We start from the raw sequence: 24,524 nt of genomic DNA, 5'->3' as shown, positions 1-24,524 counted from the left end.
TTAATTTACCATAATACATGGGTTGAACATTGATTTTAACCTAATACATTTTTCTAAGTAGAATTTTGTGTTTATGTTGTGGGGAGGTAGTACTAACTCATAAAATTCCCTTTAAGCTGTTTCCTCTCTGTATCCTCCTCCTAGAATCTAATAATTCTTTAAGAAATTAGTAATTGCAGCAGGAAAACTTATAAAGAAAACTGAAAGAACACTGAAAAAAACACTTATTTTGAATACTCTTGATCTTAATGAATTCATTTACAAAACATGAATTACATAACCCCTTTGGTCGTCTCCTCATATAGAGAGAAAAATGATATCTTAGGATTCCTTCCATCTGTAAAAGTGTTTTGGTCTTCTGATTTTTAAAATTCATTCTTCAACTTGATGTAAGTTTTCCTTTCTTTTTCTTTCAAGACAGGGTCTCTGTTGCACAGGCTGGAGTGCAGTGGTGTAATCTCGGCTAACTCTAGCCTCAACTTCCTGGCTCAAGCCATCCTCCCACTTTAGTCTCCTTAGTAGCTGAGACTACAGGCATGCATGCTTTTAGTTTTGTTTATATTTTGTAGAGATGCGGTCTCGCTATGTTGCCCAGTCTGGTCCCAAAGTACTGGCCTCTAAGTGTCTACCTATCTTTTAATTGAGTGTTTCTGCTGTAAACTAATGAATATAAAAAATTGCAATCTTATTTTTAACAGCTGCGTTAGTTATTTAACTGGTATCATATTTATTATATTTGGATCCTCCCTAATTGTTTAATTGTTATAAGTAGTGCTTTGTACAAAAGTCTTTTTGTAATTTTTTTGGTGGAATAAATTCCTGGATGTGGAATTACTGGGTAACTTTCTTGCTATGTTTGGGGCCTCTGCCTGTTTCCACGTGACATAGTTAGATGTAGTGTTTTATTCATTGAACAATTTCGAGAACAGATGTTTGGAGGGATTGAGCAGATCACAACTGCTTTTGCAAAAAGTAGCTTTCTTTGGATTTAAATTTTTTTTAATTGCAGTTATTCCTCTAAATTACCCAGAATTGGGGGTGCTTTTTTAAGAAATCAGAAACTAAAATGACTTAGATTTTCTAAGCAGATTATTTGTTTTTCAGATTCGACCTCACATTACTACTTTGCGCAAATACACATACGGGAAGCATATACTGGCCAAGTTGGAAAAGTATTATTTGAAGAATAGCCCGGACCTAGGACCTATTGGAGGACCACCAAATGGAATGCTGTAAATTACAGGAGCAAGAGAAAGAAGATAATTTAACCATGTGAAAAGAATTTTTTTGTGTGTGAATTATCAAAACACAACTCAACTATGAATCTTCAATTTTTTTTTAAAGCAAAACTATTTATTGACTTTATTCATCCATTTGTAAATTTTTTAAGGTTCTTGTGTATATTTGGGGGGTGGGGGATGAATTATAAATTATATTCAGCCCTGAGTGGAGACCTATCAGATTGGATTGCTGGCAAAGCACAGAATGCCTGTATATGATGTAACTGTATCAAAAATAAAAAGCTGTCACATATTTTGTAAATTTTTACCTTGTAAAGTCACAAAAATAGTTTTTAAAGGAAAAAGTACAGTATTCTTTTAATAAACTGGCTCACAGTCTGGTAGGTCTACAACCCCATAGCACAACAGGTTTATAGAGATGTATATAGAATTATAGTCCTTATTTTTTTCCTTTGCGTGAAACCTTTTATAACAGATTAACAATCAACTGCATAAATATTATTAATATTTTAAAAAGAGTTAAGTTGTATTTTGATAATTCACAAACTATCATGCAAATAACGAGTAAGTAGACAAGAATAAAGTGGTTTGAGATGAAAAGAACCTAACATTATTTACAGTAGATGTGGTTTTAATACAATTACTGCCCTAAAATGTCTCTGGCAATGTACAGAAATATTGTATATACTTACATATGTAATTGTTGTAAGAGTTAAATACAAAATCATGGTGACACTTCCAATTAAGTGCACTAAATGAAAAGTTAAGTCACTTATTAACTTTTCAGTTTGGTTTGCAATGAGAAAGAGTGGAAATTTGTATTTTGTTTTGCTTATAGAATTACAGACATGTTGAGGAAGTGTTGAGCTTTATTTTGCTTTTTCATAGAGGCAGAAAGTAGGAACCAGATAGAGATGAAAAGGGGCCACTGAAAAGTGAATTTGATAGCTCAGCATTTAAGCATGATTACATATTCAGATAGCTCTTTTTGCTTTCTATAAATATATGCATTGTGTGTGTAGTAATAGATGTAAGTTTACACTTTGAAAGGAAATCTTGTTTCAATGTTTATTATAAAAGCCTTGCTAATTTAGTAGTGATGCTTTCCTTGGTTGTACAGGTGTACATTTGTAAACCTTCATGCTGTAAATGGAATTTGTTTTATCTCTTTGGGATACATTTGCATTTTAGTGTACATTTACGTCCCTGCCCTCTTTGACCTGGCAATATAGTGTTGTATAATGTAAATTTATTTCTCCAAATCGAGAGTGATTTTTTAAAAATTTTTTATCTTTATATGGTTTCAGAAGTATGAACCAGCTTTCTTTTTATTATTGTGAGATCATTTTGTTTTATAACATAGTTGTTGACTGTTAATATGGACCTGCTAGAATTTGGATCACTTTCAATTGAAGTCAGGGTATTGTGCATAATAGAAAGTATTGGACTGAGATATTTGGTTACCATGGAGGCCAATGCTTTTTTCATCTTATTAAATGTGATGTGACTTTTTTCTTTGTACAGAAGAGTACTGTATTTTTGAATAGCCTACTCCCAAGTAAGAGCAAATCTGTATGATAACATTTTTTCCTCTGGACATAAGACATAACAGTAACACGATGTACATTTACAAGCGGCCTTATGTACATTTCCCAACAATCTTTTTAAGGCAAAATTGTGACCATATGTGTATAATTAAAATCGTTTTTAATCCTTTGCCTATGAAAATATTTTGGAAAAAAACTTGCTGTGTATATTCAGTTTCTGAAAGATAAAGAAAGTGCTTTGTATTTTGTTGAAGTCAGTATTTTGTATAAACATTTATGTTGACCCACTTATGTTCAGTGCTGAAAACTAAAATGAACATGCTATTCTGTCAGCTGAATATGGAAGAGATCTTTTTTTACTAGAGATCTGCAGAAGAAACGCAATCTTCTGAGCACAATATGGAATCTAAAGGTTTTATCACTTAGTTGTTCATATTATGAACCTAAAAATAATGGCATAAAGTTTGGGGATGCCAGGCATACTTTTTCATGTTTGGTGTTGAGTTATTTTACTTTTCTAACCCAACATTCCTTGGTGAGACCATTAAATCCAAACACTTGTCACCGTTCCTTCTCATAGTCACTCTGGGTCATCAGCATGTCCCAGTCACTGCAGCAACGCCTTGTGTTTGTTTCATTTTTTTAAAACCCACACAAAGCCGCTGTCTCACTTTTTCCTACTTTACCAACCTCAGAGTATTTCGGCCCGTATCGAACTTTTGTTCTCAGTATCAGCCCATGGTTTCAGGATCAAAGCTGTCATGTTGGAGATTGGTAATGGCTTTCCTGTCTTTGTACAGTTGAATTCCTAGTCTTCCTTCATCCTTGCCCTCTGTTGGCACAGGCATTATCTCTGCAATTTTAGAAAATGACAAGTAGAGAATACTACATTGAGAAACTAAACCCTCTTCTTGGGGTCCTGATACTCATTCCCATTTGTCCCAGTGCTGACAACCCAATCTTCCCAATACTTTCAGGCCTGCTCTACAAAAGTACCTGTTCTTGTAGAAATTTTACAGTCTGCCATTTTGGGTGCCCACCCCAATTTTTACCTTTTAGTAAGTTGGCATGAAATTTTGGTAAAATCTGAAAATCACATTTCAGAATAAAACAATTGGGCAAAACTACCTAGGCTTTACTCTTGAGTGTCTCCTTTTGATAGGGATTGTTTCTGGACCAGTTTGTCTAAGTCCTGGCTCTTATTGGTTCATATGAAATAATGTTAACTTCACTTCTTTGTATATTATGTATAAATTAGAAAATGAAAAATGTGTGAATAACATTGTATGAAATAAACCTGGTCTTGTGTTTTTCTCTAGATAAAATACCCCTCTGTACCTCAGTTATAACTTAAGATTGATTGCCCATTCAGGTTTACTCCGACGTAAAGAAAACAAACATTTTTAACACATGGGTGCTGTTCTGGAGCCACTGATTCCTCTGATGGTATTAATTCCATGCTTTGATTAGTATTTAGGACCTATAACTGCATACTTCATAGGATAAAACTTTTAGCCCGTTTTCACATGAACTCGAGGAGGCAGTGTTGTCTAAAGGTAAACAATTTAAGTTCAGATGTGGATTTAAAGTTTACCTTATTTACACACCTTGTGAACTTTTCTAAACCTTGAGCCCTTAGTCTGTATCAAGGGATAATACTACTTAACTCATTAGTTTTAACAGTGGAGAATATACAAAAAGATAGTTAGAACCTATTTTTTTCTTTTTAAGAGATGGATTCTTGCCTTGTTGGTCAGGTTGGTCTTGAACTTCTGGCCTCAAGTGGTCTTTTTACTTTGGCCTCCCAAAGTGCTGGGATTACAGGCATGAGCCACTATGCCTGGCCAAGAACCTAATTTTTTTTTTTTTTTTTTTTTTTTGACACAGAGTCTCGCATTGTCGCCCAGGCTGGAGTGTGATGGCGCCATCTCAGCTCACTGCAACCTCTACCTCCCAGCTTCAAGTGATTCTTCTGCCTCAGCCTCCCGAGTGGCTGGGACTACAGGTGCACACCACCACACCCGGCTGATAACTTGTATTTTTAGTAGAGATGGAGTTTCACCATGTTGGCCAGGCTGGTCTCGAGCTCCTGACCTCGTAATCTGCCCGCCGTGGCCTCCGAAAGTGCTGGGATTATTGGCGTGAACCACCACACCCGGCCTGGAACCTAATTCTTAATGAATCGCTTGTTAATACCATTTCTGTTTTTCCCATTCTTTCTACAGCTATAAAAAGAAAAAAAGCCAGAACAATTTGATAGACTCCAAAATGGAAACCTGCATAAAGCTAAGTGGGAAAAAGAAATGTCACCATACACATTGTATTTCCTGAAATTTAATTTTGTCTTGGTTTGGGTCTCTTCTGAGCAACCCTCTTGGATTATTGACATACTACCTCACATTGTATTGAAATTTAAAAGGTCTTAACAAGGAAATACCACATCTTCGCACCCTGGCTTACCAACCTAAGGAAAGCAGTTTCCTAAATTCACCTGGGACTAGATGCCCTCGATGACACTTTCTCTGGAAGATTTTAAAGCAGCAGAGGACAAAGAAACCCCTAAAGGAGCCATATTCATTGTCCACCTTCCCTACCTCACTTAAAAGTACCTAGCTTAACATGCCTGGTAGAATTGCCTGGTAGAAATTAGAAAATGTGTCTATGAACAGGGAGCTGAGCAGGAAAAGAGTGCTGAGGCTTCAGGGCTCACCCCTAGGAGGCTGTTCTAAGCACTGCGCTGCAGAGGGGAGTGGGGCCAGGACTGGACTGGACCTTTGTTACTTGTAGGGTCCTATCCTGACTTTCCCACAGAACCTTGTGGCTGAGGAGTATGTTTGTTGTTTTTATTTTTATTTTTTGACAAGATCTGGCTCTCACCTAGGCTGGAGTGCAGTGGTGCCATCACTGCTCACTGCAGCCTCAACCTCCCAGGTTCAAGCAAGTTTCCCATCTCAGCCTCCGAAGTAGCTGGGACCACAGGCTCATGCTACAATGCCTGGCTACTTTTTGTATTTTTTGTAGAGATGGGGTCTGTATGTCGTCCAGGCTGATCTCAAACTCCTGCTCAAGCAATCCACCTGCCTCGGCCTCCCAAAGTGCTGGGATTACAGGCATGAGCCACCAGGCCCAGCCAACTCTTAAGCCAATATAGGACAAGACAGCCCAAGATAGCTCCTGTAGGCAGTTTCTCCAGTTTCTGCTATGTTCCATACACAGAACTTTTTTTTTTGAAAGAGCACAAAAAAATCATAACTGTACGGCTTGTTAATTTTCACAAATAAATACTCATGAATCCAGGATTTAGATCAAGAACCAGAACATTACCAGCACCCAGAAACCTTCCTGCACCCTCTTCCACTGAGTGGCCCTTTCAACCCTTACAAAGCCGGAGAGCTCAAGTTCTGGGCCCTGTGGCCTTGGTGAGCAACACCCTGGACCGATCAGAACGACCCAGTGAGTTGGGAAAACGCTCCTTTTACCGATAAACTTGAAGCAACTCATGACTGTGGCTCTGGCACCACCTCAGCGGAGGCGGAAGTGCCATAGAACTTTTAAAAAATATATTTACCAAGAATTAAAACCAGGTGAAATAGTCTTGTATTTGGTAGTTTAAGGGAAAGCAATTGGCTGGATTAAAATGTATTCAAATGTCAGTGCTCTTTTAGAATTTGTCTAGCAGGTTTTCCAGTTTTTACCGGAAAACCCAACAACAGAAAGATCAACAGAAAGATTGATTCAAACTTTCTTGGGCATCAGAAAGTAATGATTCAGAGTTTGGGCTCTAGAATTAGACTGCCCAGGTGCCAAACACTAGCTTCATATCTAGTAGGTAAGTGGTTTCATCTTTTAAGCCTTAGTTTCTTTGTGTAAGTCAAGGAAATGGTGACCTGCTGAGATTGTAAGGATTAAAGAGAATAGACCTGAAGCGCCATGGCAAGTACTCGGTACACGTTAGCTACTAAAGCAACTCGTGCGCATCACTTGGTTAAAATAAGTTTTCATTTTTAAAATTCGGTTACATGCAGCCTCAAAACATGGTTTGGAGATCATTTATGTTTCTGCAAATGAGCAAAACTCTTGATTCAAATTGCAGATAAATCATTAAGTCATGTGTAGATTTGCCCTGGTGTATACAAGCTGCCAGGATGGAGAGAAGAGCAAGGAAATCAAAGACATTGTGATGGGAAATCTTGGTATATCTCTCACAAACACACACAAAAGCATATTAGAGACCCAGAAGCTGCTGAAGTTTTGTGGAGGTCAGAGTAGCTCGGGACCATCAACTGATCTCTGCCATTTCTTACCCCATCCCTTGCATGATTTTCACCAGTTTGGAAGCCTCTTGATGCTATGGTTATGCTTCAGTAAAAGAACAGGCCTGCAAATCAGTCAATTCTTTGCTGAGTGTTTGATTTAAAGAGCTACCTCCAGGCCGGGCGCAGTGGCTCACACCTGTAATCCCAGCACTTTGGGAGGCTGAGGTGGGCAGATCACCTGGGGTCAGGAGTTCGAGATCAGCCTGGCCAACATGATGAAACCCCATCTTTATTAAAAATACAAAAATTAGGCTGAGCATGGTGGCTCACACCTGTAATCCCAGCACTTTGGGAGGCCAAGGCAGGCGGATCACCTGAGGTCGGGAGTTTGAGACCAACCTGACCAACATGGAGAAATCCTGTCTCTACTAAAAACACACAAAAAAATAGCCAGCCATGGTGGTGCATGCCTGTCCCAGCTACTCAGGAGGCTGAGGCAGGAGACTCACTTAAACCCGGGAGATGGAGGTTGTGGTGGGCTGAGATCGAGCCATTGCACTGCAACCTGGGCAACAAGAGTGAAACTCCATCTCAGAAAAGAAATACAAAAATCAGCTGGGCAAGGTGGCAGGCGCCTGTAATCCCAACTACTCAGGAAGCTGAGGCAGGAGAATCACTTGAACCCGGGAGGCGGAGGTTGCAGTGAGCCAAGATCACACCACTGCACTCCAGCCTGGGCAACAGAGTGAGACTCCATCTCAAAATAAATAAATAAATAAATAGTTACGTCAAATTATTTCTAAATGTCTGCTTTGTTTGAGAGTTGAGCCACAGTTGTAGCCAAGTGAGGAAGAGCCCTCCATAAGGGTCCATCCAACTGATGCATCAAGTTTGAAGGAAGCCACAGTGACACTCCTTAATAAAGCTCTGCCAACTTGGCTTATAGCAAGGAAGCCATTGAACTGAGAAAGATTTGCCTGTTAGCCTTCTAAACCTTTCCCTCTCAACCTCTGCCTGGACAACGAAGTTAGGATGATGGAAGCTTCCTCAAAGCAGTAGGTATTTAGAAATCAGAAACAAGGGTCTCATCCAACTCTACGCAAAGCACACGTTTTCACCTTCATAGTCAGAAGATATGGGATGTTGGCCAATAATTCTTTATGAACATGGTCATCTAGGATCCTGAGGGAAGTCAAAAGCTGCTTGAGAAGATCATGTGTGATTTCCCTCAGCACACATTTTGGTGCCCATGCAGTTGAGCAGAAGCCTTCCACCCAGTTCAGGATCATATCTTTTTTGTGTAAACAGCATGTAGCTCATGGCCAGAAACAGGTTATGGAAGGAATGCTGAAGAGTGGAGGAAAATCCACCACAAATCATTCCATGACCAAATAGGACCATATGGAGAACATTCAGTCTTATCTTTTGTATTGTTTTGTTTTTTGAGACAGGGTCTCACTCTGTCGTCCAGGCTGTAGTGCGCTGGCATGATCACAGCTCACTGCAGCCTCAACCTCCCAGGCTCAAGCGATCTTCCCACCTCAGCCTCCTGAGTAGCTGGGACAATAGGTATGCACCACCGTGCCCAGCTCATTTTTAAATTTCTTGGTAAAGACAAGAGTCTTGTCATGTTGCCTGAATTGGTCTCAAACTCCTGGACTCAAGTGATCCTCCTGCCTCAGCATCCCAGAGTGCTGAGATCACAGGCATGAGCCACTGTGTCTGGCTGGTCTTACCTATTTTTTGAGAAGGCATGAGGTCCTAGGCGGGAGGGAAAAAAAGTAATTCCTAACTCAAAGCCTTTAAATCTAGACAGGAATCAAGATTTCAAAACTAATCAGTGCCTTGGGCTTGGAAGGGAAAGGTAAAATGAAGAGGATGAGGGGATGGCTTTGGGGGATTGAGAGCAAGGTGGGTGCAGCAGCCAGTGCATTTTCATAGTCTTATTTATTGAGCAACTACTTTGCGTCAGGTTTCATTTTTTGTTTGTTTTGAGATAGAGTCTTGCTCTGTCACCCAGGCTAGAGTGCAGAGTGCAGTGGCACAATCTCGGCTCACTGCAACCTCCACCTCCCAGGTTCAAGCGATTCTGCTGCCTCAGCCTCCCAAGTAGCTGGGATTATAGGCGTGGCCCACCATGCCCACCTAAGCCTAATTTTTGTATTTTTAGTAGAGACGGGGTTTCACCATGTTGGCCAGGCTGGTCTTGAACTCCTGACCTCAAGTGATCCGCCCACCTTGGCCTCCCAAAGTGCTGAGATTACAGGCATGAGCCACCGTGCCCGGCCTGTGTCAAGTATTCTTGATGCTGAGGATACAGCCCTCAAGAGGTGCACACCCCAGTGGAGGGAGAAACAGAATGAGATTCTTGATACAAGCAATGCTTCAGTTAACAATAGGGGTCATCACAGATTCTTGAGCAGGTGAGTGACAAGTGCGGTGGTGTGGAGGACCCAGCACAGGCTGGCAGAGCAGCAGTAGAGAGGGACTGGAGGCAGGGGAGGTAGCAGTGCCAGTTACAGAGCTGAGGGGCTCCCCGAGACATGGGCGGAGTCTCATCTCTTTCTTGCTTTATTCCCACCCCTGGCCTTTTATGGCCAGAAGCCTTGGAAAGCCGGGTCACACCTGGTGGGCCCCTTCCTATGGCAGGGATGAGGACAAAAGCACGTGTATGGGCTCGCCCTGGAGAAGAGGAGGGGTGTCTGGGAGTCCTCTTCTGCCCTGCTCCTTCAAAAGTCAGTTCTGGTTTGAGCACTGGAGTCTGGGCTTGGAAGGCACCTGTGAGCAGAGGAGGGAGGGGGTCACCCCCCAGAGTTTGGAAGGGTGACAGCTTCATCTATATTCCATTACCCACCCTCTTCTACAGTAGGGTAGAAAACTAGAGAAGGGACCTGGAAGACAAAGAGTCAGCTTTGTCACAGGAAGAGGCAGCTGTAGACACAACGGCAGCCACCAGGTGACCTAGAGCCCTCCCCACAGGCCCAAGCCTGGCTCACGCAGCAGGGTGGCAAGGGCCTGGGGGCGGCCTTAGAAAGCTGCAAAAGTGGCTGTGCGCGGTGGTGATCCCAGCACTTTGGAAGGCCGAGGCGGAGGCTCGCTTGAGTCCAGGAGTTCGAGGCCAGCCTGGGAAACATGGCGAGATGCCCCTGCCTTCCCTATAAAAAAAATAAAAATAATTTTTTTTAAAAAAGCAACTGACCCGCCTGGGTGACGCCCTCAAGCCCCCCCCCCCCCGCCCTTTCCCCACCCGGGCTTCAGTTTGCTCATTGGGGCCTAATCCAGCAGGGCTGTTGCGAAGCTGCCTGGGAGACACCAAGGGGGACCCCCGCCCCGTCCGCCGAGAGCGCCCCCTGGCGGCCCGGCCCTCCCCTGCGCCGCGGGTCCGGGGGCCCTTCCCAGTCCAGGCGCGGCGCACCCTGGGGGATCCGTCCAGCTCCAGAAGTTTCTTCGTCTAAATTACTTGGAGTTGATCTTTCTAAACAGGATTGCTCAGACACACCCTGCCTTCTCGAACAAGGAAAGAACTCTACCCATCCCACTCAACTGCCATGTACGACCGCCTGCAGCCTCATCACAGGGCACTTCCCATAACATCCTACCACCGCGGACCCCAGGCCTCGCCCCTAAAGCCCGAGCCCTGACATCCTGCAGCCTGGAATCGCACATCTCCAGTCACGTGGCCACTGGCCCCGTTTCGCCAAACATGTCCGGAACCGAACCCATCTTCTTGCACCAAACCTTCTTGTGCTCTTCCTCTTCCCTTCCTGAACAAGTCGGCCCTAAAGCCACAGGTGGGGCGACTAAATTTTTTCGTATAAATAAATCCCAAACATTGCATAGGACATAATTATACATTTTATACTAAAAAAAAATGTTCATCTGAAATTCAAATTTAACTGGGCATTCTGTTTTTATTTGCTAAATCTGACAACCCTACTGCCCCTGTCTCTGGCCAGCCAGTTCCTCCTCGTCTCCTGGAGCCAGCCCTGGAGCTTCCCTAGACAGATTCCAGGGACAGCTCCTCCAGGCACAAGGTCATGATGGCGGTGATGGCAAATTATTGCAATGGCTTGTTTTCTTACGTTTCTCCACCCACACTGTGAGTTGTTGGAAGGCCAGACTGTGTGTTTCTCTCTCTTTACCCCAAAGCCTGAAGTTAGGTGCTTAGGTAATGCTCACCACTGTAAAGCCAGTAGGAAGTAAGCGCGTTTTTCTGTTTTGTTTTTTGTTTGTTGTTGTTGTTGTTTTTGAGATGGAGTCTCGCTCTGTTGCCCAGGCTGGAGTACAGTGGCGCAATCTCGGCTCACTGCAACCTCCGCCTCCAGGGTTCAAGCGATTCTCCTGCTTCACCCTCCCGAGTAGCTGGGATTACACCCGCACGCCACCATGCCTGGCTAATTTTTGTATTTTTAGTAGAGACGGGGTTTCACCATGTTGGTCAGGCTGGTCCCAAACTCCTGGCCTCGTGATCTGCCCGCCTCAGCCTCCCAAAGTGCTGGGATTACAGGCATGAGCCACCACGCCCGGCCCTAAACGCGTTTTTAAAGGCGGTGTCTCTCGGTGAAGAGCTGTCACACAATGGTGCTCTCAGGGGTCTGTGGGCCACTGTACCGAGGCCTACACTCCCAAGTTCATTGAGTTACTTTTGAAAAGCATTATACTTGAGCTAGTTTGCCCGCGGGTGTGTGAAGGGAGACAGTCAGTGTGGAGGCCACAGGGTACTCGCCACGATGAGCAGCACCCTAGCTAAGATCGCGGAGACAGAAGAGGAGATGGCTTGGACTCAACAAGGCCACAGCACACCACCTGGGGCTGCTTAAGGCTCGTCTTGCTAAGCTTCGTCGAGAACTCACTACTCCAAAGGGTGGTGGTGGTGGTGGAGGTGCAGAAGAAGGTTTTGATGTGGCCGAGACAGGTGATGCTTGAATTGGATTTGTTGGTTTTCCATTTGTGGGGAAGTCGACACTGCTTAGTAACCTGGCAGGGGTATATTCTGAGGTGGCAGCCTATGAATTCACTACTCTGAGCACTGTGCCTGGTGTCATCAGATACAAAGGTGCCAAAATCCAGCTCCTGGATCTCCCAGGTATTATTGAAGGTGCCAGGGATGGGAAAGGTAGAGGTCGTCGATCATTGCAGTGGCCCGAACCTGTAACTTGATCCTGATTGTTCTGGATGTCCTGAAACCTTTGGGACATAAGAAGATAATTGAAAATGAGCTGGAAGTCTTTGGCATTCACTTGAACAGCAACCACCGCCCCCCAACAATGGCTTTAAGAAGAAGGACAAGGGAGGCATTCATCTCACAGCCACTTGCCCACAGAGTGAGCTGGATGCTGAAACTGTGAAGAGCATTCTGGCTGAATACAAGATTCATAATGCCGATGTGACTCTACGTAGTGATGCTACAGCTGATGACCTCATTGATGTGGTGGAAGGAAACAGAGTTTATATCCCCTGTATCTATGTTAAATAAGATTGACCAAATGTTATGTTAAATAAGATTGACCAAATGTTATCTTATGTTAAATAAGATTGACCAAATCTCCATTGAGGAATTGGATAGCACTATAAGGTGCCTCACGGTGTACCCATCTCTGCCCATCACCACTGGAATTTTGATGACCTATTGGAAAAGATCTGGGACTATCTGAAACTAGTGAGAATTTGCACCAAACCCAAAGGCAATTACCAGGTTACACATCCTCAGTGGTACTTCCTTACTCCAGGACCACAGTGGAGATTTCTGCATGAAGATTCACAAAAATCTTATCAAAGAATTTAAATATGCTCTGGTCTGGGGTCTCTCTGTGAAACACAATCCTCAAAAAGTGGGTAAAGACCATACGTTGGAGGACAAGGATGTCATTCAAATTGTGAAGAAGTGCAACCTTTTCCTTTTCCCATCTACCGGGCGAACCACAGCAGCCTTCCCCATGATCAAGCACCCTACCCCAGTTCCTTCTGGTTTTGGCAGTCACTGGATCAGGATCCAGGGGAGGGAGATGGAGGCACCAAAACTGGCACTTCGTTAGTCTTACCTTGCTGTCACCTTGTATGTCGAACTGCATAAAAGACCTGGTAGGCTGGTCATCTATGTGCAAAAAAAAAAAGAAAAAGAAAACCATTATACTTGAGCGAATTCTTATAGTATAAAAACTTCCCAACAATCAAAAGCAAACAAAATAAAAACAAACAAAAAGCTTCTCCTCATTGTCTCTGCCTTTCAATTTCATTCCCCTCCCAAGAGTTAATCGTTGTTAACTGTTGAGTATGCAAATTCCAAATATTTTTCTTTGTATTTATTAGGCCATAATGAAGAGCCTAATAAACCCAAGAAGCTGAAATCATACAGGACACATTCACTGAATAGAATGCAATTTAATTAGAAAGGGAGGGCAAAACGATCTTAGAAACAGAAATATATTTATTAATAAAGCATGTATCTTCAAAATATAAATATATTTGTTACTAGAAATATATCTTAGAAAAAAATTTATTTGAGACAAGGTCTCGCTATGTTTCCAGGCTGTCCTTGAATTCCTGGCCTCAAACAATCCTCCCACCTAGGCCTCCCAGAGTATTGGGATTACAGGCATGAGCCACCATGCCTACTCTAGAAATTTTTTAAAATACTCTTCTTAGTAACTCCTCATTTAAAGAGCTAATCTAATCTAGAACAAACTATTATGGGTTAATTTCCAAATTAATAGCAATGACAGACATATATAAAAACCTGGGGATTCAGGCCAAACGTTATTTAAAGAAAATGTTTAGTCAAGAAAATCTGAAGATAAATGAACTCAAGAAGCTAGTAAAATAAGACCAAAAAAAATTACAAAGAAAGCGGAAGGACGGAATTAATAACAAACTCACACACACACTCACAAAAACTTGACCAGTTAAAAATAATGAATTAGACATGCTTTTGGAAAATTTGAATTTAGCAAAAAAGATGAAAGACACAAACAGTAAGAAGATATAAAATTGTGATTTTTAATTATAAGAGAATTTATATTAAAAGTCTACTTACAAACTAAAAATTAAATGAAATAAATAATTTTCTTTCCTTTTTTTTTTGAGACAGAGTCTCACTCTGTCACCCAAGCTGGAGTGCAGTAGTATGATCACCATCACAGTTCACTGCAAACTCAGCCTCCCAGGCTCAAGTTATCCTCCCACCTCAGCCTCCCAAGTAGCTAGGACCACAGGTGTGCTCCACCACACCCAGCTAATTTTTAGTATTTTTTTATAGAGATGAGTTTTCGCCACATTGCCCAGGGTGGTCTCAAACCTCTGAGCTCAAGCGATCCTCCTGCCTCAGCCTTTCAAAGTGCTGGGATTTACAGGTGTAAGCCTCTGCACCCAGCCCAAAATAAATAATTTTCTAGGGAAATATATAGTTCCAAAATTGATTCAAGAGGAGTGGGAAACTTGACTATATCAATACCATTAAAGAAATTAAGGAAGTAGGAAACAAACAAACAAAACCAGAGGTATCACGTTTCCTGATTTCAAAACTTATTAGAAAGCTACAGTAATCCAAACAGTGTGGCACTGGCATAAAGACAGACATACAGACCGAAGGAAGAGAATAGACAGACCAGGGAGAAACCCTCGCATATATGGTCAAGTGATCTTCCACAAGGGTGCCAAGACCGTCCAATGAGGAAACAACAGTCGTTGCAACAAGTGATGCAAAAGTTGGTCCCTTACCTTACATCATATACAAAACTAACTAAAAATGGATGAAGATCTAAACGTAAGACCGAAAACTGTGAAACCCTATAAGAAAATGTAGGGGGAAAGCTTCGTGATGTTGGATTTGGCAGTGATTTGGCTATGACAGCAAAAACACATGCAAAAGCAAAACTAAATAAATGAGACTACATCAAACTTTAAAATGTCTGTGCACCAAAGGAAACAATCAACAAAGTGGAAAGGCAATCTACAGACTGGGAGAAAATATTTGCAAATATGTAAATAATAAAGGGTTAATATTCAGAATACATAGACACCTACAACTCAACAACAACAAAAAACAACGTGATTTTAAAATGGACAAAGGACTTAAATAGACATTTCTCCAAAGATGATATATAAATGGCCAAGAAGAATGTGAAAAGATGCTCAATGTCATCAGTCATCATCACGGAAATGCAAGTCAAAACTGCAATGAGATATCATTTCACACCCATTGAGACAGCTACTAAAAGAAAAAAAAAAGAACAAGGAAATAACAAGTGTTGGTGAAGCCTCTGTGGAAAAAACAGTATGGTGCGTCTTTGAAAAATTAAAAATAGAATTACCTTGTGATTCAGCAATCCCACTTCTTGAAATACCTCCAAAGGAATTGAAAGCAGGCTCATATTAAAACAGTCAATAGCTAGTGGTGTGTGTTTATATACAATGAAATTTTTATCAGCCTTGAAAAGAAAGGGTACATGCCACAGCATGGAGGAAAGTTGAGGACACTGCACTAAATGAAATAAGCCAGCCACAAAAAGACAAATACTGTATTTCCCCAAATGAGTTGAAAACTTTGTCCATAAAAAAAACTGCGTATGAATGTTTATGTCAGCTTTATTCATCATTGCTAAACATTCAGAACAAACCAAGATATCCTTCAGAAATAGATGAACTGGTACATCCATACAACACAATATTGTTCAGCAAGAAAAAGGAATGTGCTATCAAGCCGTGAAAAGACCTGGAGGAACCCTAACTCCACATTGCTAGATGAAAGTAGCCGATCTGAAAAGGCTGCATACTGTGTGTTTGCTTGCAGCTATTCGACACTCTGGAAAAGGCAAAACTACAAAGACAGTAAAAAGATCAGTGGTCGCAAGGGGTTGGGAGGAGGGAGGAATGAGTAGGAGGACACAAGGAATGTTTTGGGCTGTGAAAGGCTCTGTAGGCTACTGTAATGGTGGAGACATGTCATTATGCATTCGTCAAAACCCACAGAGTGTACACCATCAAGAGTGTAGTCTGATGTGAACGAGGGACCTTAGCGAATGAGAGCATGTCAGTACTGGTTTGTCAGTTGTAACAGATGTATCACACCAATGCAACAGGTTAACCATAGGAGAAACCGTGTGTGGCAGGGTGCGGAGAGGTCAATGAGAACTCCCTGTACTTATGACTCAATTTTTCTGTAAACCCAAAATTGCTCTTTAAAAAAAGGTCTATTAATTTAGGAAGGAAGGAGGGAAGGAAGGAAGAAGTAAGGAAGGAAGGGAGGAAGGGAGGGAGGGAGGGAAGAAGGGTGGGAAGGAAGGAAGGGAAGGAAGGAAGGAGGGTGGGAAGGAAGGGAGGGAGAGAGGAAAGAAGGAAAGAAGGAAAGAAGAAAGGAAGAAAGGAAGAGGGGGCTTCTCCTTACACAGGGCCTGGCTCCTGGTGGGCTCTTGCCAGGTGTGAATTCCCACCCAGCCTCCATCCCAGGGCACTGGTCCTTTCTCCCCTCCAGCCTATGGCTCACTTCCTCAGGTGTGTAATCAGGCTCTCGCTTGCCCTGGGCAACATTCCCACTCCTTAGCTTGGCAGTGAAGGCCTTCACCGGTTGCCCCAGCTTCCTGTCATCCCCACCCACTGCCACTCCCTTCAGCCACTGCCCTGAGCATTTAGGGAACACCATTACTCAGCGGTGCGTAGATGGCCCTGGCCCTTTCAGGGCCTCAGCTGGCCAAGTCCTCCCCTAGCTTGAGCAGCCCTGCCCACTTGCTCCCCTGCCTGACAAACTGCTACTCAGCAGGCAGGTTTCTGCCTGGACGTCAACTCCTCCAGGAAGCCTTCCCTGAACTCCTCCCTGCAACCCAGGACTGGGGCCCCTGGCTCTTGAACCATCTCATCATAGGACTCAAAGATTGCAGTTGCCCCAGGGCAGGGCCCTGCCTTGGACAGCATGCACCCCCAGGCCCTGGCTGGGAGTGGGCGCTCGCTGCAATTTAAGAGCATCCAAAGGACCATGGAGACACAGCGTTTGGGGAGAGCAATGTAGCAGTGGTCTCAGAATCTCCTCCAAGGCAGCCAGGCCACTTCTGTCCTAAGAAAGGTTTGTCAGCTGTGGGACGATGTCCACGTGAGGATATTCAACAGTATTGTTTGTGACAGCAAAGCCTTTAAAAATGGCACCCATCAGAAGGGGAATGGTTAAATAAATCAAGATATAGCCAAACCAGAGAATCCCAAGCAGCCACTAACAAGATTGAGTCTTATCTGTAGATACTGACATTTCTTTTTTTTCCTTTTTTTTTCTTTTTTTGAGATGGAGTCTCGCTCCATTGCCTAGGCTGGAGTGCAGTGGCATGATCTCAGCTCACTGCAACCTCCGCTTCCTAGGTTCAAGCTATTCTCCTGCCTCAGCCTTCTGAGTAGCTGGGATGACAGGCGTGTACCACCACACCCAGCTAATTTTTTTTTTCTTTTTTTTTTTTTTTTGCGACAGGGTCTCTCTGTGTCACCCAGGCTGGAGTGCAGTGGTGCAATCTCAGCTCACTGCAACCTCCGCCTCCCGGGTTCAAGTGATTCTCATGCCTTAGCCTCCCAAGTAGCTGGGATTTCAGGTGCCCGCCAAGATGCCTGGCTATTTTTGTATTTTTAGTAGAGACAAGGTTTCACCATGCTGGTCAGGCTGGTCTTGAACTCCTGACCTCAAGTGATCCACCCACCTCGGCCTCCCAAAGTGCTGGGATTACAGGCATGAGCCACCGCACCCGGCCTCCATTGTGTTTTTGTTTTGATTTTTGTTTTCAGGAGATGGGCGCTCCTAGAGCATGGGTTTATGCTGATGGGAAAGTCATCATTTCCACACCACGGAACACCACTCAGCAATGAAAAGGAACACACTCCTGATGCACACAGCTTGGATGGAGCTCAGATGCAGTCTCCTAAATGAAAGAAGCTAGACTCAAAAGGCTTCCTACTATACAATTCCACTCATAGGACATCTGGAAAAGGCAACACTTACAGAAAACCGATGAGTGGCTGCCAGGAGCCAGGGGTGGGGAAGGAGTTGACTACAAAGGGTGCAGGGAAGTTTTGGGGATGAGTAAACTGTTCCAGATCCTAACTGCAGTGGTGGTTATACAATTGCATGCATTTGAAAACAGACTGTATAACAATAAGGGCAAATTTTACTGTGTGTAAAATATACCTTAGTTTTTTTTTTTTTAAGAAAGGAAAAAATTACATTTTCTTTTTAACATTACATGCCCCCTTTTTTCCACTCATTTTGACTGTAACATAAATTTGAATTATTAAAATATTTCAGACCGGGCGCAGTGGCTCACACCTGTAATCCCAGCACTTTGGGAGGCCGAGGCGAGCGAATTGCCTGAGGTCAGGAGGTCAAGACCAGCTTGGCCAACATGGGGAAACCCCATCTCTACTAAAACACAAAAATTAGCCAGCCATGGTGGCGGATGCCTGTAATTCCAGCTACTCGGGAGGCTGAGGCAGGAGAATCGCTTGAACCCAGGAGGTGGAGGTTGCAGTAAGCCGAGATTGCACCGCTGCACTCCAGCCTGGGCAACAACAGCAAAACTCTGACAAAAAAAAAAAGAAAGAAGGAGAGAGAGAGAGGGAGGGAGGCTTAGAGAGGTTGTATGACTTGTCCAGGGTGGCAGGGCCAGAGTTCAAATCCAGACGGTTTGATGTTAGAGTGAACACATTCAACCGCCGTGCTAGGGCTCTGGAACTCAGATCCCTGCAGGGCCCAGCAGGTAGTGGACCAGCTAGAAAGACACACTCTGTGACTGTGGCTTCCGCTGGTCTTTGCTTTGACTGGATGTGGGTCCAGCATATTAGCTCTTCCAATTCAGCTAGAAAAGTCGGAATTTTTTTTTTTTTTTTTTTTTTTGAGACAGAGTTTCGCTCTTGTCGCCCAGGCTGGAGTGCAGTGGTGCGATCTCGGCTCACTGCAACCTCTGCCTCCCGGGTTCAGGTGGTTCTCCTGCCTCAGCCTCTCGGGTAGCTGGGATTACAAGCTCCTGCCACCACACCCGGCTAATTTTTGTATTTTTAGTAGGGACGGGGTTTCACCATGTTGGCTAGGCTGGTGTCAAACTTTTGACCTTAGGCGATCCACCTGCCTCGACCTCCCAAAGTGCTGGGATTACAGGCGTGAGCCACCACACCTGGCCGAAAAGTCAGAAATCTTGATTCTTACATGCAATTCTCCGATGGAAATCTCCTTTTTAAAATGGTGTAGGCTGGGTGCCAGCACTTTAGGAGGCCAAGGCAGGCAGATCACCTGAGGTTAGGAGTTCAAGACCAGCCTGGCCAACATGGTAAAACCCCATCTCTACAAAAATACAAAAATTAGCTGGGTGTGATGGCGGATACCTGTAGTCCCAGCTACTCGGAAGGCTGAGGCGGGAGAATCACTTGAACCCAGGAGGCAGAGGTTGCAGTGAGCCGAGATTGTGCCACTGCACTCCAGCCTGGGTGACAGAGCGAAACTCAATCTCAAAAAAAAAAAAAAAATAGCATAAGGGGAAAACAAAAACAAAAAAAAGAAAACAAAATAAAATAGTTTAAAGGCAAAACACTTCTACAGGCCAAATGCAGCCCTAGGGGCTGTCCCTTTGCAACCTCTGTCCCATTCCTAGGGAATGCAAAGTCACTTTCTCACCTGTTGAGTGAACTCAGTTACTCATCTGTTACATGAATTTGCATATGCATCCTGGGGCTGGAGGTGAGGCACACCTGTGTGCGTGAAGGTGCGTGCACATGTGCTACACACAGGTATGAGCGCTGACATAACACTATGACTTATACATCCTGGCTGCGGTGAGCTCAGGAATCTCTTCAGAGCCCAGCCCAGATTCTCCCCTGCGGGCTTTAGAATCTCCAACTTCTCTATGATTTCTAGGGTCCTACCTTGTGCCAGGTAAAGTGCTAAGTGTTTTATATGTATTATGTCAGAATGCTTAGGAACTTGCCTAAAATGAGTCTATCTGCCTCTCCCAGTGAATCCCACTGTGGGTATCCACGGCATCACTAGCATGCAGGGGGCACTTACACGTGTGTGCCAGGCCCTATGGAGGGCTTAGCTCATTCAATGCTTTTGACTCTTTGAGGTAGGTACTAGTATTTCTCCAATTCACAGAGGAACAAATTAAAGAGCAAAGAGGTTACTGCTTGCCTGAAGTCACACAGCTAAAGTAGCTCAAAGAATGTGTAGAAGAACCGGCTGGGCAACATGGCAAAACCCCATCTCTACAAAAAATACACAAATTAGCCAGGCATGGTGGTATGTGCCTGTGGAGGCTGGGTGGGGAAGATCACCTGAGCCCAGGAGGCAGAGGTTGCAGTGAGCTGTGATTATGTACGTCACTGCACTACCCCAGCATGGGTGACAGAGTGAGACCTTGTCTCAAAAAAAATCAAAACAACAACAACTCCTCCCAGCTCCCCCCCCCCCGCCCCTCCCCTCACAAACAGCATATTGCATGCAGCAATTAGCAGGGCTTTGTAGAGTCTGTCCCTGGGCAGCCAAGGCGGGTGGATGACCTGAGCTCAGGAGTCCAAGAGCAGCCTGGCCAACATGGTGAAACCCCATCTCTACTAAAAATACAAAAATTATCCGTGTGTGGTGGCAGGCACCCGTAATACCAGTTACCCAGGAGGCTGAGGCAGGAGAATCACTTGAACCCGGGCAGTGGAGGTTGCAGTGAGCCGAGATTGTGCCACTGCACTCCAGTCTGGGTGACAGAGCAAGACTCTGTCTCAAAAAAAAAAAAAAAAAAAAGTCTGTCCCTAGCAAAGCAGGTGAGGTGGGACAGGGGGAGCTACTTCCCTGCTCCAGCCCGAAGAGCACCAGCACGGGCTCCCCTTCCCCACAGGGGCTGAGTCACAGAGAGCCTGGTGCTGCTCAGACTCCAGATCCTTGATGATGCCCTGCAGGGCAGGGGCTAGTGTGAGCCAGTGGCGAGTGGCCTCACTCCAGGAAATTGCTCAGGGTGACTGGGCCTAGCTGCACCTGGGAGGGTGTGGCTGGTGTTGGCACTCCTCCCTGCTGGAGAGCTTCCTGTCCAAGCTTCCAACAAAGGCAACAAAGGCTCATCCTTGAGGCAGCCTAGAACTGAGTCACGAGCCCCGGGGTGATCTACCAAAGGACTTCAGCACCCAGTGCTGCCCCAGCCTAGGCAGCCACTTTACACACTGATTCGGCCCCTCTGACGCTAGCTGTTTACGTAAACCAGGTGGAAATGGACCCTCACCAAGGATTTTCCACATTGCACTGTTCCTCTCCTTCATCCTTCTCCAAGCCTCATCGCATCCCACCTCCTCCATATTATTCAATCCTGGCTCCCCACATTGTACCTTCACGGCCCCTGCATAGGGTGTCCCAGCCCACAGTCTCCCTCCCTGCAGCCTGCCCTTCGCACAGTGGCCAGAGGATCTTTTCAAAATGCAAACCACTGGCTCCTCCAGCCTAGGCACGGCCCGTTACTGGCACACACTGCTCAGGCTCTCTCCCTCTGATCCAGCCCTTGCCAGAGGTCCTGTGCCCCGGCCAGTCCAGCCCACCTCAGACTCCTTCCAGTTCCTGAACATCCTGAAGCTCTGTCTTGCTTCTTTGCCTGCTCTTTGCTGGGTTTCCTGTTTGGAATGTCCTTTCCCTGCTCTATCTGCCTGCGGTAGGCTGAATAATTACCCTTAAAAGATATCTATATCCCAGCCCCTGGAGCCTGTGAATGTTAACTTATAGAACAACAACCAATACAAGGTGGTGGTGGTGGGTCTTTGCAGATGTGCAGATGTGATTAAGAATTTTGAGATAGGGGCGATTATTGGGAATTATTCCAGTGGGCCTTGCATGCAGTCCTGTATTCTTACAAGAGACAGCCAGAGGGAGATTTCACTATACACAGAGAAGAAGGCAATGTGAAGATGGAGCAGAGAGAGCTTTGAAGCTGCCAGCTTTGATGACTGGAGTGATGGGACCACAAGCCAATGAATACCAGCAGCCACCAGAGGCTGAAAGGGGCAAGAGATGGATTCTCCCTAGAGCCTTGAGAGGGAGCACCAACCTGCCCACACCTTGATTTCAGCCCAGTGAAACTGATTTTGGACTTCTGACTTCCAGAACCGTAAAAGAATGAGTGTTTATTTATTTATTTATTTATTTAGAGATAGGGTCTTGCTTTGTTGCCCAGGCTGGAGTGCAGTGGCATGATCTTGGCTCACTGCGGCCTTAACCTCCCAGGCTCAAGCAATCCTTTCACCTTAGCCTCCCAAGTAGCTGGGACTACAGGCGCGTGCCACCACACCCAGCTAATTTTTTTGTTTTGTTTTTTTTGCAGAGGTGAGGGCTCACTATATTGCCCAGGCTGGTCTCAAACTCCTGAGCTCAAGAAATCCACCCACCTTGGCATCCCAAAGTGCTGGGATTACAGGTATGAGCCACCTCACCCAGCCTAAGTGGGTGCTATTTTAAGCCACCAAATTTGTAGAAATTTATTACAGCAGCCACAGGAATCAAATACACTGCCCAAATCCTGTTTCTTGATCCACGGACAGGTTCTAATGGCTTCCCACCCACCCTCAACCTTCCTCATCATTGAAACCTTTGGGAACTTTATCCCTGCGTCCGGAATCCATCATTTCCTTACTGCTGCTGATGAACAGGTTAGTATTGCACGCACTTCTTTGTTTTATAATGATTGTTTAGTTCAGTTTTTCCCCAAAGACTGAACTCACAGAAAATGAAAACCTTATGTTTTCACTTTGGTATCTCCGGCACTCAGCCCTGGGCCTGGCTCCCAGTAGGGTCTCTGCAGCATAGCACTGCCGCATTGCACAACTCCACAGGCACCATTCACACCCGATGCTATGGACTGTGAATCTCTAGAGCACGATTCCACAGGACCCACCCTCCCTCCCTTCCTTCCCTCTCTTTTTCTCTTTGTCTTTCTTCCTTCCCTCCTTCTTCCTTTTTTCTTTCTTTTTTTCTTTCTTTTTCTTTCTTTCTCTCTCTATCCCTCCCTCCCTTTTTTTCTTTCTTTTCCTTCTTTTTCTCTCTCTCTCTCCCTCCCTTCTCTTCTTTCTTTTTCTTTCTTTCTTTCTCTGTCTCCCTCCCTTCCTTCTTTTTTCTTTCTTTCCTTCCTTTCCTTCCTTTTTTCTTTCTCTTCCTTTTTCCTTTCTCTCTTTTCCTTCCTTTCTTCCTTCCTTCCCTCGTTCTCTCTTTCCTTCCCTTCCTTCCTTCCTTCCTTTCTTCTTTCTTTCTCTCTCTGTCTCTTTCTCTCTTTCTCTCGAGTGCAGTAGCACAATCTTGGCTAACTGCAACCTCTGTCTCCCAGGTTCAAGGGATTCTTGTGCCTCAGCCTCCCGAGTAGCTGGGATTATGGACATGTGCCACCACACCAGGCTAATTATTGTACTTTTAGTAGAGATGGGGTTTCACCATGTTAGCCAGGCTGGTCTCGAACTCCTGGCCTCAAGTGATCCATCCACTTTGGCTTCCCAAAGTGCTGGGATTATATGCATGAGCCACCGCACCCAGCCAGGATACCATTTTCATGGAAGACACTGAATCATGCTTCCTGGAACTGGGTAATGCTCCATCTCTAGACATATTTATCAAATAAATGAACTATACTCCACTCTCCTCCTCCAAAACAAAAAAGTTATTCCCATAGACAAAGGGTTCCTAGGCCTCCCTAGGATGATGGGCACCATGAGGTGATAAAAGTGGTCCCTTACGGGGATCGCTTTGGGGAAGTAGATACTCTGATTTGGATGTGTAAATTCCAATGATATCTACAAAAGGTGTATTATTCTCTCTCTTTCCTGCTATCAAATATTAGAGGCAACTTAGAAGGCAAGGGAAATTATAAGTTAGAAAGGGACAGTCAGCACAGGGGCAAGGCAGGTTTGAGGTTGAGAGCAGAGAAGCAGGACATAAAGTCCAATCCACTTGCTGCACACTGAATCCCCAGATGATTTGGAGCTGCCAAAGCACGAAAGTGCAGACACACTTGGTTACATATTTCTCAATATCTAAGAATGAACATATGGCCAGGCACAGTGGCTCACGCCTGTAATCCCAGCACTTTTGGAGGCCGAGGTGGGTGGATCTCCTGAGGTCAGGAGTTCGGGACCAGCCTGACCAACATGGTGAAACCCATCTCTACTAAAAATACAGAAGTTAGCCAGGCATCGTGGCGGGTGCCTGTAATCCCAGCTACTTGAGAGGCTGAGGCAGGAGAGTCACTTGAAGCCAGGAGGCGGAGGTTGCAGTGAGCCGAGATCATGCCATTGCTCTCCAGCCTGGGGGACACAGCGAGAGTCCGTCTCAAAAAAAAAAAAAAAAGGATGAACATATTCGTTCCTTAGACGAAACCAAAACTTTCCACTGCTTCTAGGTCTTCATGTCTCACAACAGACCCAAGGACAGCTCCGCAGCCGTGGTGGGTGAGGGGCTTCCTCTGGAGTCCCCCGATGGCACTCAGGGCCATGCCCCTGCACTGGGA

General features: G+C 44.6%; 1 protein-coding gene and 2 pseudogenes across 48 annotated transcripts in view, besides 4 other annotated features; all 3 read left to right on the top strand.

Moving 5' to 3' along the window:
- The window catches only part of PUM2 (pumilio RNA binding family member 2), a 103,563-nt gene extending 99,433 nt beyond the window's left edge, over positions 1-4,130 (top strand). For 35 of the 48 annotated variants that reach the window (XM_047443807.1, XM_047443803.1, XM_047443815.1 and 32 more), the window contains one exon: positions 1,105-4,130. In XM_047443807.1, the coding sequence (XP_047299763.1) occupies positions 1,105-1,236 (132 nt within the window). In that variant the 3' untranslated portion in view covers positions 1,237-4,130. The remainder of the gene's footprint in view (positions 1-1,104) is intronic. The other 13 variants (NM_001352925.3, NM_001352920.3, NM_001352926.2 and 10 more) reach the window with 1 other exon arrangement.
- Positions 6,434-6,495, top strand: RNU7-113P (RNA, U7 small nuclear 113 pseudogene; annotated as a pseudogene).
- Positions 10,276-10,505: a silencer, noted in NCBI's record as "silent region_11204". NCBI's record gives its function as "represses an Ori minimal core promoter by ATAC-STARR-seq in GM12878 lymphoblastoid cells {active_cell/tissue: GM12878}" and the evidence as "EXISTENCE:reporter gene assay evidence [ECO:0000049][PMID:35858748]".
- Positions 11,540-11,686: a silencer, noted in NCBI's record as "fragment chr2:20440896-20441042 (GRCh37/hg19 assembly coordinates)". NCBI's record gives its function as "represses an EF-1alpha promoter that drives an FKBP-Casp9 reporter gene in an ReSE screen in HepG2 liver carcinoma cells and K562 erythroleukemia cells {active_cell/tissue: HepG2 | K562}" and the evidence as "EXISTENCE:reporter gene assay evidence [ECO:0000049][PMID:32094911]".
- On the top strand, positions 11,713-13,147 carry DRG1P1 (DRG1 pseudogene 1; annotated as a pseudogene).
- Positions 16,139-16,697: an enhancer, noted in NCBI's record as "H3K4me1 hESC enhancer chr2:20435885-20436443 (GRCh37/hg19 assembly coordinates)". NCBI's record gives its function as "activates a minimal SCP1, AML or CMV promoter by ChIP-STARR-seq in primed H9 embryonic stem cells {active_cell/tissue: H9 hESC(primed)}" and the evidence as "EXISTENCE:reporter gene assay evidence [ECO:0000049][PMID:30033119]".
- Positions 16,698-17,256: an enhancer, noted in NCBI's record as "H3K4me1 hESC enhancer chr2:20435326-20435884 (GRCh37/hg19 assembly coordinates)". NCBI's record gives its function as "activates a minimal SCP1, AML or CMV promoter by ChIP-STARR-seq in primed H9 embryonic stem cells {active_cell/tissue: H9 hESC(primed)}" and the evidence as "EXISTENCE:reporter gene assay evidence [ECO:0000049][PMID:30033119]".

The sequence above is a fragment of the Homo sapiens genome, chromosome 2 (assembly GCF_000001405.40).
Source record: "Homo sapiens chromosome 2, GRCh38.p14 Primary Assembly".
Taxonomy (NCBI): Eukaryota; Metazoa; Chordata; class Mammalia; order Primates; family Hominidae; genus Homo; species Homo sapiens.
This window is presented reverse-complemented; position numbering and strand designations above follow the sequence as displayed.